General features: G+C 47.1%; 1 protein-coding gene across 1 annotated transcript in view, besides 3 other annotated features; it reads left to right on the forward strand.

The window, feature by feature from the left end:
- KIF26B (kinesin family member 26B) overlaps positions 1-8,210 on the forward strand; it is a 554,448-nt gene extending 546,238 nt beyond the window's left edge. Inside the window, exon 15 of the mRNA NM_018012.4 lies at positions 1,236-8,210. Within this exon, the coding sequence (NP_060482.2) occupies positions 1,236-1,384 (149 nt within the window). The 3' untranslated portion in view covers positions 1,385-8,210. The remainder of the gene's footprint in view (positions 1-1,235) is intronic.
- Positions 9,795-10,296: an enhancer, noted in NCBI's record as "H3K4me1 hESC enhancer chr1:245874319-245874820 (GRCh37/hg19 assembly coordinates)". NCBI's record gives its function as "activates a minimal SCP1, AML or CMV promoter by ChIP-STARR-seq in naive H9 embryonic stem cells {active_cell/tissue: H9 hESC(naive)}" and the evidence as "EXISTENCE:reporter gene assay evidence [ECO:0000049][PMID:30033119]".
- Positions 10,297-10,796: an enhancer, noted in NCBI's record as "H3K4me1 hESC enhancer chr1:245874821-245875320 (GRCh37/hg19 assembly coordinates)". NCBI's record gives its function as "activates a minimal SCP1, AML or CMV promoter by ChIP-STARR-seq in primed H9 embryonic stem cells {active_cell/tissue: H9 hESC(primed)}" and the evidence as "EXISTENCE:reporter gene assay evidence [ECO:0000049][PMID:30033119]".
- Positions 13,742-14,242: an enhancer, noted in NCBI's record as "H3K4me1 hESC enhancer chr1:245878266-245878766 (GRCh37/hg19 assembly coordinates)". NCBI's record gives its function as "activates a minimal SCP1, AML or CMV promoter by ChIP-STARR-seq in naive H9 embryonic stem cells {active_cell/tissue: H9 hESC(naive)}" and the evidence as "EXISTENCE:reporter gene assay evidence [ECO:0000049][PMID:30033119]".

Genomic DNA, 14,982 nt, shown 5'->3' on the forward strand with positions numbered 1-14,982 from the left:
ATGAATTGAAAACAGTAATGAAAAAAAGGATCAATGAGCTGCCTGCTGACTATTCCCTGTGGGCATGAGGCAGGGGACTGGCATGGAAAGATCCATTTTTAGTTCTATTATTTCTTCATTCTGATGCCACTTTTAAGGTTGTCCAGTAATGTAGTCTGATGTGGTCATAGAATGATGTCTCCTTTTGCTTTTTTGTTTTGGTTTTTAAATATTAAACTGGTATTCAGGGCCTTCGGTCTCCTTCCAGCTCTAGTCCTGGTTAACTGTGTCAGCCTCAGTGAGTCACGTCACTGTCCAGCTCTCAGGGACCTCATCTGCAGAAAGAAGACACTCTGCAGACAGCGGCCACTCTAAGCCCCAGTGTTTCCATAGCACGGCATCGTTTTCAAATCAAGTTCGTGTTCATTATTATCTCATTTTATTCTTCACAGCAACTCAAGGCAGGCAGGGCAGGCAGCGTAGGAGTTACTATTCTCACATGCCTTTAAAGACACTGTCAGCAGAGGTGGAGGTCCCAGAGCTCGTCTCTTCAGAGCTTGTCTCGTGCCTGGGGTTCCAGGGCCATCCCACCACCTTGGACTGCTGTCCACGCCTCTCCTCCTCGTACTGGGAGCCTGCTGGACCCCTGGACCTGGGCCAGGCAGCCCATCCCTCTGCCCGGCCACCTCTGGACAAAGCAGGGGACTTGATGCCAGAGGGGTTGATCCCAGATACCTGCTCTTCAGGCCTGGAATGATACAGACTTTTTACTCTGTGCAGGCCTGAACATCAGGAAAGGCATCTGGGTTATAATCCAGAAACGTCCTTTCATATAAGGAAGCAGAGGTATAAATGTCACTCAACTGAGACCCCCAAAAGGGAGGGACTCTCCCCACCTCAACTTGAATTATTTACTTGATTGATTGATAGTGAATAGTGTGGTAGCGTCTCTCAAATCCTGGGATCCATCCTGGATCCTCCATGGCTGGAGGTAGGGGGAGCTAGAATGTCACCTTATTGGTCAGTAGAATCTCAGAAAAAACCTTAAGGATCTAAATACTGGTAAAGAGTGTTCCTTTCAACCCAAAAGAGGCCGAGAATCAGGCAGGAGGGAACTCTGCAGTGGCCTAAGGCAAGCGAACTAGACCTTTAGACCAAGGGGTAGATGTGGGGGTGGCAGCTCCAGGCTGAGCCGTCGGGAGTTGCTTCTCACCCTGTTTGCTCTGCGTCTCCATCAGGCTCTTCCTCTCTTGCAGTTGACTTGGAGCAGGTTTGGGAGCTGGATTCCCTGGAGTACCTGGAGGCACTGGAGTGTGTGACGGAGCGCCTGGAGAGCCGTGTCAACTTCTGCAAGGCCCATCTCATGATGATCACCTGCTTCGACATCACCTCCAGGCGCCGGTAGATGAGCCAGACCCTTGTCCTAGTGGTCCCCCGCTCCCCAGGACTTCAGAGATGTTGCACGCCCCTAGGCCCTCTGTGCTGGGGCATCAAAGACAATGAATGAGGATGAAGGTTGGTGGCAAGTCTGGAGCGGGCGTTGAGCGGAAGGCGAGTTTTCTTTTGTTTTCTGTAGGAAAGGTGCAAACGTCAAACACCGTGGAAGGAGAAAAGGATGGGAAGCCCGAGGGGTGTCCAAGCCCTGTGAGACTGAAAAAGCACTTTGAGGAACCTTAAAGACCTTGTTTGTACATAAGAACTGCTAGCAAAAGAGACCTCACTCTTCTCTTGCTTTCGTGAGAAAGGAGGGGCGTGGATGTAGGATTGCTGTGGAAAGCGAACACAAAACAACCCAGAATGACTGATTAAGTGCCTTGCAAATCTTTATTATTATCCAAACATTTATGTTCATACTTTCTTGTGTACAGATGGTGCTAGTCAAGATGAAAACAACAAAACAAACAAGAAAAACATTTTGGAAATGTATTCACAGCTCTTTTTCTCTTGGTGTTTTATCCTATTTCTGACTTGCTGTTTCTAAGTAAGTTGTGTTTGTAGAGCTATTTCTTAATCAGTATTGCTTATGAATAAATATTACCTGTCTTTTATGGTTATTCTGGTGAGGCCACTCAAACAGAGAGACTTCCCTCGGCACGAGCCAGTGTGTGTGTTTCCAAAGTAGGTTTGGAGCAGCAGGTGACCTCGATGCCACATCCCAACAAGCAGCGTGGTCAGGTAGACCCAGAAGGTTGATTGTGGGGCAGGTGCTTTAGAGAACAGGTGAGGAGACGGCACCTGCAGCACAGGGGAGGAGGAGTCCTTTGCGACCTGGGCCCTCCCTGCTCCTGGGAGGTGGGCCGTATGTTCTGTAGACCGTTTGCCCCCCTCAAGTCCTCCACACATGTGGTTCCTTGACCCACAAATCCACAGTTTGCGTGGCCCTCAAAATTCATATTCATTTTTATTCCAAAAAGTCTTGAACGAAAGCTGGAACCAATTCACCAGAGCCATATTTCTTTCTTTAGTATTTTCTAGTGTTGTGTTGTAGATTGATTAAAGTGGGTTTTTCCCCAGCTGAGAGACCTTCTCAGGCTTGTTCAGAGACTTCAACTGTATTGGATTAGAAGAAGGATTCTTGAGACTGTACATCTTGTCTGTTGTCCAGAGTACAAGGATTTCAGCTCTCCTGTGTCCCAAAGCCTCTATGCCAAGAAGGGACAGGCTTGTCCTCTCAGTCTTTGCTCCTGCCCAAAGGCAGAGAGAGCTTCCCCTCCATAACTCACACGACCCTGGATAGGCAGAACATAGCTGAAGACTATGGATGTCCAGGTCTTGGCTCCCAACAACTCAGGACCTCAAATTCAGATGTTCCTCCCTATAACAATTCCCTTAGGAATTATGATACCCATTTTAGTGATTGATAGAAACCTGGGGTACAGAGTGGTCAAGGGATTTCCCTGATAAAAGCTGTGGTGCTGATGATAGTGCAGCCCAGAATCTAAGAGTCCCTGCAGCCTTCGCATCGAGGATGGTACTTAGGCGTGTGCAGAGCACGCTTCCCTTTTGCCCTCAAATGCAGCATATCTTCATGAGCCTATTTATTTCCAAGCTAGGCTGTCTTTATTAACCAACAACTCAGCCCCAGCCACTCCCCAAGCGGGGAAAAAAACACTACGTTTCTTGGTCAGTGTACCTCTGGACACTGCAGCCCACACAGCTGGCTGAACTCGGTAAATGGGAACCGAAGTCTTGTGAGCTTCACATGACCTGATCCTTTGTTATCAGAACAGGGTTCAGGTGGCCCTGTTGGCTCATGTGCTTTGGAAGCCAGCTCCCTGGGTCACGAGTCTGGCTTTGCACTTTCCATAAGAGTCTGCTTCTATGCAAAGGTGCAAACAGGAGACATGCCCAAATCTGCTGGCTGAACAGGCTAAACTACAGTGAGAGGCTGCTCTGGCATGGCTCGTTCTTCCTTCTGTGTATCTCCCAAGTCTGACAAGTGTGTTGCCCTGGGAAGCAGGACCTCCCTGAGCTCCTTAACCTTGACCCCATTCTGCAGGACAGTCGCATGCTCTGGGCTCGCCTCTGGCCTCAAAGCACTTGTGTAAGTGGGCTTGCTTAACAGTAATATCCTTGGAGGCTTCTGGACCCAAAGGGAAGCCAATCCTTCGAGTTTGCCATTGGGCTGCTGGTTGCTGGTTTCAAACATATAGTTCATGAAAAGTCTTTAATTGGAGATTTTCAAAGGTGAATATTCTGTTTTTGTTGGAAAGAAACTCATCTGATGAGTCATCGATGAGTTTGGCTTTCGCCCCTGCCACATCCTCCCCTGAGGTTCCTTCCATGCTGCACTGCCTTCCTTTAGCCAGTGACAGAGCCTGGTGCCCTTCCTGGACTGAAACCGATGGAATCCTTCCGAGGGGAGTGGCATTCGGCTTGCCTCCTGCCTAAATCTGCTTTTATCCATTTGTAGCAACTTTATGCTGTAACAAAAGGCGGAAGGAAACCAAGAGTTCTCTTAGCAAGTCAGACTCCTTCCCAAGATGGCAATCACAGAACACCTCGCAGGATCTCGCAGGCCACGGTGAAGGAGAATGCTTTATGTTGATGTTGTCCATTCTCTCTCTCTTCTCTTTGCTTTTTTTTGACCTAAATAAGCTGCAAACATGTTAATTTACCAATATTGATAAACCACATGAAGAAATCAGGCATTTTACGTTATGATGTGCTTGTTCCTGTCTCTGCCTATAAATTGACTGTATTGATGATGAAGGAAGGAGTTCCGGCTGACCATTCTGAAGCAGTCCCAGTCACGGGAGGATGCCTTACCCAGTGGCCAGACATGATAGTTCCAGGTCTCCCCTTGGTTTTGGTGATAGAGAACCCAAGGAGGCAAGGGGGAATATCAACGAACCCATTTCTATTTCATTACCCACAAGCGAAAGGACTAGAAAAAAATATTTGAAATTAACATTTAGATGCATAGGTCTAACTCCTTGTGTGAACCTGTCCTCCTCACCCCCTGCTCCAAATATGTGAGGTGGAAGCATTAGCAGCGGAGCAAAACTAAGATCTAAGAACGGGCGGTGGTGCTATTGTGTCCCTGGGAGTCACTCCACGTCGCATTGCACGGTGGTGCTGAGGAGCGAGAGTTTGCTTTATCATGGGCTTTCAGTTCCCACCTGCGAGCTGCAAACTTTGATCTTGTTGTCCTTGAATTCCCCTCTACATCACGAGGAAGCTGTCTCTTTCATCTCTTCCGGATTTGGAATCAGAACACTCTGCCCGTTGTTTATTCGCCAGTTGCCATTCTTAACATGGGGGAGCATTAAGATGCAAATGCAGAGATGTGTCCTGTCTTGACAAAGGTGGGAACCCCTGAGCTGGAGAAGGGGCTCCTCTCATGAGAAGCTGGGGTAAACAGCCAGGCATCGCAGCGTGGGGAATTAGACAGGCAGGAATCTGGCCTGGTTTGTCATAAATTAGCCTTCAACTTGAAGTCTATTATGTTCTTATAAGGCGGTAGTGACTTCAGTCCAGCCGCATCTACCATCCAGGGTGGAGGTTCAAAAAGTCTTATACGCACCTACAAGTCTCACGCTTGCTGCTCAGACTTTCTGATAAAATCTCAGAGTTCTGTTTGTATTGACCAAAAATGCAGTTGTGCCCACTTGGGTGTGTATCTCATGTCCTTGTAAACCAGCCACCTTCTTTGGATAGAAGGCAAGGCTGACAAATCTGCAGATTTGTTCAATGCAAACACAGCCGTCTATATCATTGGCCACTGCTGATTATATTGAGTGTTTTTAGGTTTTTTAGGTTTCTTATTCCAAAAAGGATTTTAGACTGTAAAATGACTAAAGATGAGTTAATTTCCAAACTAAAAAAGGAAGGAGTCCTGCCTGTACTCATTGTTCTTTCCTGCTGGACTAGTAACCCATTCTTGGAGCACACACAGAGTCCCTCGCTTCTAAAGACAATACGTCTTAAACCCTGAAAACTTGCCAGTGAGAAAGAGGTTGAAAGTCCTGTTTGCTATTAGTTGAGGCTAAGCCGTCTGCTGCCACTGTCCCTGGGGCCTCCATGCTGCCGCCGGGGTATGTGGCCCAGCTGTCCCCCCATGAAGGACACTCTTCAATGCCACCACACGGGAGTCTGGGCAGGGAGGAAAGGCACACAGCCCACTTTTCTCTGCACCAAATGAAACAAAGCTGGGTGTTCAGTGTCACTGATGCAAGTAAATGGGTCTCAAATTTTGGTGGGGGCAGTGTTTCTTTGGATTCTGATACCTCTTTTTCCACCTCCAGAAAGTATCTGTCAACATTGGTGGGTAACAGCTTATAAAGTGCATCACTTAGTAATCTTCCTGACAAAATGACACATTTTAAAATTACAACCTGTTCATTATTTCCATCATAATGCAAGCGTAATTCTAATCCGGGAGAAGATACTGTCATTTAAGCTCATCTTCTCAAAAAAATTTTTTCTGAAAATTCCTGGAAACTAATTTATCCCTCCCTAAACAAACACATTCTGCTTTTGGGTGGCCCTACCCAGAACCTGCAGCAATGTCATAACACTGGACACAGTGCGGCTTGGGGCAGTATCAAGCCTTCATTGCATACAAACCTTAATCTCTAAGCATAGTTGTTCCCAAGGTCCACACGTGTGGAGGCGAGTACTGAAATACCACACTCACACATCTATTCCATGCGTACCTAGAAATTACCTTCAACACTAAAAAAGGTTCCTTCTTTCATTCCCTATCCTGCTAACAGCCCACATTGTAATATTTGATTTATGAAGAAGTTCTAATTTATTTGTGAACTCAGGATGTTGCTTTACAGCATTGCTCGTGTTCTCTCATTTACTTATTATGCATCACGGTTGGAAATGCTATCCACGTGCCGTGCATCGAGGTGGAGATTTGCTGGATCTGTCTGTGGCTATTTTTTTCCATGTTTTTCTCACTCAAGCAAAGTCTGTTAGTGGAAACATGGGCTGGGGGATGGGGAGAGGACAGATAAAGCAAGAGAATAGGGATTAGGGTCCAATCCTCAATGCACAGGGCTTAGTTCAAAATCTAAGCTGTTTCTGTAGTAAGCAGCCAAATGGGAAAGATCCCTTCGTTTTGAATTTGATGAGAATGGGCTTGGAAATCCACGCCCACCGGCTTGCACGGAAGAGGACTCAGCCTCTTCCTAATGGTTCAACATTCAATTCCTGAGGAAAGTGCTGATAGTATTAGTTCCCTACATTTCCCTAAGACTCCCATCCAACCCCTAGTGCTACTGAAGAGGGTTTGGGAAAGCAATTGGAGTTCCTTAGCTTGGATATATATAGTACCTGTTTTTTTCCTCTGGAAAAACCAAAGTACTTTAGTGAGTCTTACAATCTTAAGGCATTTTGTCCCCTCACTGGGTCCCGAGAGGCAGGGAGGGGCTAGGCCTTGAGCTAGGAGCAAGGACATGGGCCGCCAGGCCTGGTTGTTACTAGCTGTGCAACCTTGGGCGAGCCTCTTCGCTTTGCTGGGCCTCAGGTTCCCGAGTGGAAGACTGGGGGTCAGAACAGCTGCCCTTCTGGGAGAGCATCAAGAGAAAGTGGTATAAGTGATGGGAAGTGCTTTGAAGAAATTAAAGGTCTGTCTAGGAGCTGGGGGTAATCATTTACAGATGAAGAAACTGAAGTCTAGTCATTGACTGGCCCGAGTTCACAGAGTGGTTTTATAGCAAAACAGGGACTTGAGTCCAGCTTATTGGATTCTTCCCATCAGATCATATTGCACCAGGTATGTGTAGACATGAACACATACCATTCCTCTAAGGTGTGTGTACATACACGGATGTGTGTGTACAGGAGGTACCTGACATGGTGAAAGGCCATAGGACAGAAAACCTGAGTTCTAATTCCAGCTTTGCCAGTCGTCCCGTCCGTGATATATTCCATAGGACAGAAAACCTGAGTTCTAATTCCAGCTTTGCCAGTCATCCTGTCCGTGATATATTCCATAGGACAGAAAACCTGAGTTCTAATTCCAGCTTTGCCAGTCGTCCCGTCCGTGATATATTACCTAACTCCTCCAGAACTCAGTTTTCTAACCTATAAAATGAAGACATTGTGCTAGATGATCTTTGTGGTTCCTTCAAGCTCTGGATCTCTAATTCCATGATTAGTAATGTATGTATGTGTATATAAATATGCTTATCTGTAGAAATGGGCCCATTTGAAAAGTGGAGACAAGGTCTGCCCAGGTGCATTTATTGTGCCAGAAACAGTGAATTCCTAAATAAGTTCATAAAATCTTGTTTTACAATTCAATGGTAGTGCTTAATGTTACTGTCTGAAATCCACTGTTTAACCAGATGGAAGACTGGGGCCATTCAAAACATTATTAGTTCACAAGTGTTTGCTGTTAAAATGCTTCAATAAAACTCATTTGTTAAAGTCAGAAATTCAACTCTTCTGTACTTGGGCAGGTCCCAGCAGCCCCTTGGCAGGCTAGTTTTGTGCATGGGCCTTTGCAAGCTATATAAACGTTAGGTGTTGGCTTGATTATGATAAATATGAGCAGGCTCCCTGGAGAACAGTCCAGAAAAAAAGAGTTATAGTTCTCACAAACTGGTGACATGAATCCATTAAGCTGTGTGGCATTTTCCAGTGTAAAGACATTGTTTGCTGGCTACGATCTCTGACTTTTTGTGGCATATGAGGTGTAAAATGTTGTCAAAAAAGAATCTGGTGTTTAAAAAAAAATCAAACTATGGTGGCATTAAATGTTCACTTTTATTCTACCCAGAGTTGTGAATTCCTCTATCCAGCTTCTCCTTCTGTACCTCGGGGGAAAGCAATTCAAGAGCTAGGGGTGGGTGCTTCTCACGGCAGCAACACCTTGGCCCAAGTCTAGCCCCCAGGCCTCTCAGGACCTCATGGGATGAGGCCTGTCTAGTCGCCCTGTGGAGCTGGCCCCCAACAAGTTCAGCAGCTCAGCCAGGAGTGAGTAGAGGTGTCAGCTAAGTCCCAGAGTCCCTGGACTTGTTCTGCACACCTGAGAGCCAGACGCTGGGGAAAGTGTGGAGAAGCTTGTGTTGATAATGGGATATTTTCTGTTGCCCTCCCTCAGTCCAGTGTTTCTGGGGCTTACACAAAATAAGGGAATTTGCAGTCACTGTAGATTGCTCGGGCCTGGATGCATGGGCCTCTGTTACACTGGTGCTTGGTCTCAGTTATAACTGGGCACATTCAGGCAAGAAGGCAAAAACAGATCAGAACTAGAAAAAGGTCTCTCAGGGTAGCCCCTTCCCTTGAGGACAGTCTCCCTCCACTGCAGACATTTCCCTCTGAACAGTAATGAGGGACTTTCCTAGATGCTGGTGCCACATTCATCCAATCAACTGAGTGCTCCACACCCCCAGGAGATAGGGCAGGATGGCCACTCAAAGCAAATACATACTCTTCACTCCTGGCAAGATCCCTCTCTGAGTCCCTGTCTCCTACTGCACCACGCTTGCCTGGACATGCACACCTCCAAGGCTCCCTGCTTTTCTTCTCCCCAAATCCTAGCCAAGACCTTCTTGGGCTCCCTTTGGGTAAACCGAGCAGAAGCCGTAAGGGTTTTCTAAACATAATGCCTTCAACTAGAAGAGAAGGTAGAGGTGGTGCCAAACTGATCATTCCCTTGGGGAGGAGACGATGGAAAGGCAGCCTCTATTATAGAATTGTTTCTAATGCCCTCACTCCTCCCAATTAAAGACCTTCTCAGTGCTCTGCTGGCCTGTCGTAGCCTATAATACATCTTGTCCCAATTCACATCAGCACCTCTCGTCTCTGGGAAGGATATGTATTGTGTGGTCATCAGAAGTAACTTTTCATTAGGAAAAAAACTATCCAAATATACAATCTTAGGTGGATCTGTCCCTCAAACCATTAAACTATCCAAACTGTTCTTACTTTTATTCTTTCCATCCTTTTTGATCCTGTCTCTTTGTCTCAGGGAGGACAGTGGCCATTCTGCCTACCTTGGCACCATGCTGCATTTGGCCAGACGCCCCTGGGACTAGAAGGTCATAGAAAAGAAAGCAAGGTGATGTCATTGTCCAGCAATGGCAGATCAGGCTATGGCTGCACCTGGATGGAGAAAATGCCTCCGCATCTATGCAGGACCTGTTGCAGTGTCTGATGCTTCCACTTGTTTTTCTAGCTGAAGGTGTTGTTTCTAGAAAACCCTTATAAATCTACAGAGCACTTGGAGTGTAAATGCATTGACCTGCCAGTGGCTGCAGTGCTCCTAACACCCATGGATATCTCTTGTTCTATAACTCCAGTGGCTAGAACAGAACATGGAACATAGTGGGTGCTCAACCAATATTAGCTGAATGAATGAATCAATCAATTATTCAACTTTGGGGGAAGAGGCAACAACAAAAACCTGGGCAGGGGCCTGCAGCATTTCAGAGTCCCGTGACAAGTGGACCAAAGGTCTGCATTTGCAAACCCCTACTGGGATTAATCCCTAATTCCCAGTGGAGAAGGAGCACCAGGCCCACACAAGGCCAGACCCACGCCCTGGGCTTCTTACGCACACAGCCTTGACCTCCACAGCCACGGAGCAGCCTTGGCTTTCAGGCCTCCTAAAGCATGTTTCTAAGAGATGAAAAAGAGTCGTGTTCAAGCTCGTGGATTCCGTCTCAACATGTATAAAACAATCGTCGAGCAAACCCTCACTGAGCAGCACTCGCACTGTCCCAGACACCGTGCTGGTTGCAGTGAATGAAACAGGTTCCAGGCTCCCAGAACTCAGTGAGGTTGGCGAGCCGGGCCGGCACACAGAAACGCTGCTACAAACACGCAAACGTGCTCCCCTCCATGCAGGGCAAACCCTCCTCAGGGGCCCCTTTTCCTAGAATTTGGGCCCTTGTCCAGGCCTCACCTCCAGAAGAGTCTCCTTAAGCAGGAGGCTGAGAGGGCAGCGAGGCGGGGAGGGAAGGGGGACAGCCAGTGTCACTGCAAGTCGCTTTATTTCTCCTGCGGAAGTCCAGCCCTCCCTCACTCCCCTACTCCCCGGCACTTCCAGCTTCCTCCCCGCAGCGGGTTAACACGTGCATTTGCCAAGAGCTCAGGAAGGGCGCGCTGTGAGCATCCAGCCAGCTGAGGAGGAGGGGACTGTCCCCTGGGCAGCCACCCCGCTGCCACCTGAGGAAGCTACTTTGGGGTCCACCTGCATGCACGGTAAGCAGCACGTCCTTTCTTTTTCATTTTAAAATTGTTACATTGCCCCGCTCAGCCCATCCTCTGTGCTCTCCCCTCTCCAGCAGGTTCTGGGGTGCTGATACATATTACACACCTTTTGTGTGCTCAGAAGAAAAACTCAAAAAAAAGAGCTTTATAGACCACAAAGATCTACAAACCCCCAAAGTCCCTGATGGCCCAGTGAGAGAAAGGCCGCTGCTTTTTAAAACTGCACTTTGAAAATATGGAAATTGAAAATAAAAAATTACCTTCATCTCACCCCAGAGAGAACCACTGTTATTTAATAGATACACACACACACACACACACACACACACACACACACACACACACACAGAGGCACGTGCGCTATTACAAATTTTGGATTATCCTGGATATGGTCCTTTTGGAACCCTTTTCCCCTTTAATAATCCTACCATGTATATTTGTTTCCCCAATTGGCACATGTGCTCTGACAACATGGCTTTTAACATTGCAGAATATTCCATCACATAGATCGACCGACTCTCATTTATGCACGGCTACTATTCCCTGCTCTTGGACCATAAGATTGCTTCCACTTTTTCACAATTATCAGTTACACTGTTGAACATAAATCAACACATATTGAATATAAATCTTTTTTGTTAACCTGACAAGTCCGTAGGGATAAATTCCTGGAAGTAAAATAGCTATAACAAGAGGAATAAAAGATTACAAGGCATGTTACACACATTGAGGGTGGCTGTGCTTTAAACCGTCCAACCTCAATGATGATTAGAAGCCTTCCCTGATAGCCCCAGATGGAGTCATCTCTTCCTCTCTTAACTTTTATTTCATTGATTCACTTATTTATTCATTCTACAAATATACATTAAAAAACTCTGGCCAGGCACGGTAGCTCACGCCTGTAATCCCAGCACTTTGAGAGGCCGAGGCGGGGGGATCACTTGAGGTCAGGAGTTCTAGACCAGCCTGGCCAACGTGGTGAAACCCCCTCTCTACAAAAAATACAAAAATTAGCTAGGCATGATGGCGCGTGCCGGTAATCCCAGCTACTTGGGAGGCTGAGGCACAAAAATTGCTTGAACCCGGGAGGTGGATATTGCAGTGAGCCGAGATTGCACCACTGCACTACACCCTGGGCAAAGAGCAAGACTAAGTCTCAAACAAACAAACAAACAAACAAAAAAAAAAAACTCCAACATGGGACAGTGTTCCTGTTGTAAGATGTGCCAAGTTCTTAGTATACACTTCATCATATTTTAAAGTAGGACGTGTTTATCTGTCCTTAAATATTAGGCATCAGGCTCACGCCTGTAATCCCGGCACTTTGGGAGGCCGAGGTGGGCAGATCACAAGGTCAGGAGATTGAGACCATCCTGGCTAACACAGTGAAACCCCGTCTCTACTAAAAATACAAAAACTTAGCTGGGTGTGGTGGCGGGTGCCTGTAGTCCCAGCTACTTGGAGGCTGAGGGAGGAGAATGGCGTGAACCCAGGAGGCGGAGCTTGCAGTGAGCCGAGATCGCACCACTGCACTCCAGCCTGGGCGACAGAGCAAGACTCTATCTCAAAAAATAAAAAATAAAAAATAAATTTAAAAAAATAGGCATCAGGAGGGTAGGAGCTCTTTTTATGGCTCCCTGTGTTTAACACAATGCTGGGCACAAAATCAGGTTAAGATTCAGAGGGTTTCGACAGCCAAAGCTATTGAAGGGAATGGCATTTTATACACAGTATAGATATCCATACACTGGAAACACTTTTCTGGGGATTCTGACATCCATCTCAGCCCTTGCTGAGAACTCTTAGCTGAGGGGCCATGAAGCCTGGGTGCTCGTGTGAAACTGCAACTTGCAGTTGACTTTGAGGGAGTCTCAGTGCGTCTCCAGGCTCCATCTCCTCATCTGTGTAAGAGAAGTGAAGCCCAATCTGTCCTGCCTAGTTTCCCCTGGGTTTGTTCTGAGGATGAAAGAAGATGCTGTGTGTAGAACCAGGTCATAATCTGGTAAGTGCTCAACAGACGTAAGGTCCTGGGATAACATACACTTGTTTTGATAATTACAACAAGATTCCTCAGGCAGCCTTTACTTCTTTCCTAGACTGTGCCCGCTACACAGTTTCTTCATTCAGCACCTGCCTCATTCTCTCATGTTGTTTTTTGGAGACAGGGTCTTGCTCTGTTGCCCAGACTAGAGTGCAGTGGCACAATCATAGCTCACTGCAGTCTCAAACTCCTGGGCTCCAGCGATCCTCCTGCCTCAGCCTCACAGGTAGCTGGGACTACAGGCACGAACCACCACACCTCTCTAATTTTTTAAAAAAATTTTTGGTAGAGATGGGGTCTTGCTATGTTGCCCAGGCTGGTCTCAAACTCATGGCCTCAAGCAATCATCCCTCCTTGGCCTCCTGAAAGGCTGGAAAGCCACTGCATCTAGCCCTATTCATTTTCTTTCTTTCCGAGACAGAGTCTCTCTCTGTTGCCCAGGCTGGAGTGCAGTGGCACAATCTTGGCTCACTGCAGCCTCTGCCTCCTGGATTCAAGTGATTCTTGTGCCTCAGCCTCCTGAGTAGCTGGGATTTCAGGCAACCATCACCATGCCCAGCTAATTTTTATATTTTTTGTAGAGATGGGGTTTAGCCATGTTGGCCAGACTGGTCTTAAACTCCTGACCTCAGGTGATCCACCCAGCTCCTAAAGTGCTGGGATTACAGGTGTGAGCCACCACGCCTGGCCCCATTCTTTTAAAAATATCAGTGGCTTCCATCTATTAGAAGTAGGTTGGGCTATACATCACACTATCCCTAAATCTTACTTTCATGTGGTTTGTTTAATAATTAATTCCCAATAAGTCTCAGGGGAGAGTTCTGCAATATGTATAAAACTTTGGCAAGATGGCATATTAGGAACAGCTCTGGTCTGCAGCTCCCAGCGAGATCGACACAGAAGGCGGGTGATTTCTGCATTTCCGACTGAGGGAAATTGATATTAGGGCTAATATCAAGAATCTACAAAGAACTTAAACAAAATTACAAGAAAAAAACAAACAACTCCATCTACTGCCTTGAGTGGGCAGTAGGCAAGCTGAGGCCTGGGTTTCTAAGTGGTCGAGAGGAGGCTGGAGACCAGCAGGGGTCAGACGCTGAGACGAGACAGATTTAACCCTCATCACAATTTTGCTCAAGTCCTGGGGTTCCTGCCCCACCAGTTTCCTTTTCGGAAGCCTGAAAACATAAACCAGGTTTACCAACACCCTCAATTCGCAACCAGCCCCTTCTCTCCGGTGGATGTGTTTGGGAAGCCAGGCATAGAGAATATTGCCATTGACCTCCTCCTGCTCCTTTCCTTGTCCCGCTTTATTAGCATCACATGAATTTGATGGGTGTGTTGCCGAAGCCAGAATAAGTAGTTTAGACGGTGAGGGCAGCAGCAGCTCAGAGAAGGGAGCAGCTGAAAAACCTCAGGGCTTGTGCACCACCTCTTGAGGCCAGCCAGCCTTGCCCTGTCTCCAGGCAGCTGTGCTCCTAAACCGCGACAAATGACTAAGAAATTTCTGCTCAGGGGAGTCCTGAGGGAAGGAAGGTGCTCTTTCCCTGCAGGTGCATTTGACGTCACTCAGGCACAGGGGGCCCCTCCCAGCAGCCTCCAGAAGCAGCCTCCAGAGCCTGGGTCGGTGACAGCCCGTCTAGTATTTAAGCATGATTCAGCCACCCTCCCTACTCCCGTGTAAATCCGTGGATATGCACGGAATCCAGCTTCCTCTTTCTGCACATACACACATCCTTTTGGCTATTTCTCTGGAGGACCCTGACTAACACAGGCCACCGACCCTCCATCACTGTGGGCTTCCTGTTTCTGCAGTAAGCACTCCCTTTGGGAGAGTCCAATGAGAAAAAAGGAAAGAACCTCATTAGGTCCCTCCACGTCAACACTGACTGTGTTAACCCTAATTACTGCACCTGAATTATTCTTTTCCAGTTGCAAAGAAGGAAATCTCTAAGGTCTTTTTTAAAACCTACAAAACTTCTAAAGAATGGTAAAATGGGAAGGCTTTTTTGCATTGGCAGGAGCATAAATAATTCCTGAGGGCATCTGAACTCCAACCAGGTCAGCCCAGCCCAGCTTCCCCAACATCCCCCTTGCCAGGGAAGAGGCAGAGAATAGTAACTCAAGTTTATAGAGACTGTATTGTTGCCTTTGATCTTCAGCACCACCCCATTGAGGTAAGCATTAGCTCATACCTTTGGACAAGGGCAAGTCAGAAAGTGAGAGGGAAAGTGAGAAAGGCATTTGGAAAAAACAGGGAGGAGGACTTGGTCATTGCTTCATTCATG

This window comes from Homo sapiens, chromosome 1 (genome assembly GCF_000001405.40).
Source record: "Homo sapiens chromosome 1, GRCh38.p14 Primary Assembly".
Lineage (NCBI taxonomy): Eukaryota > Metazoa > Chordata > Mammalia > Primates > Hominidae > Homo > Homo sapiens.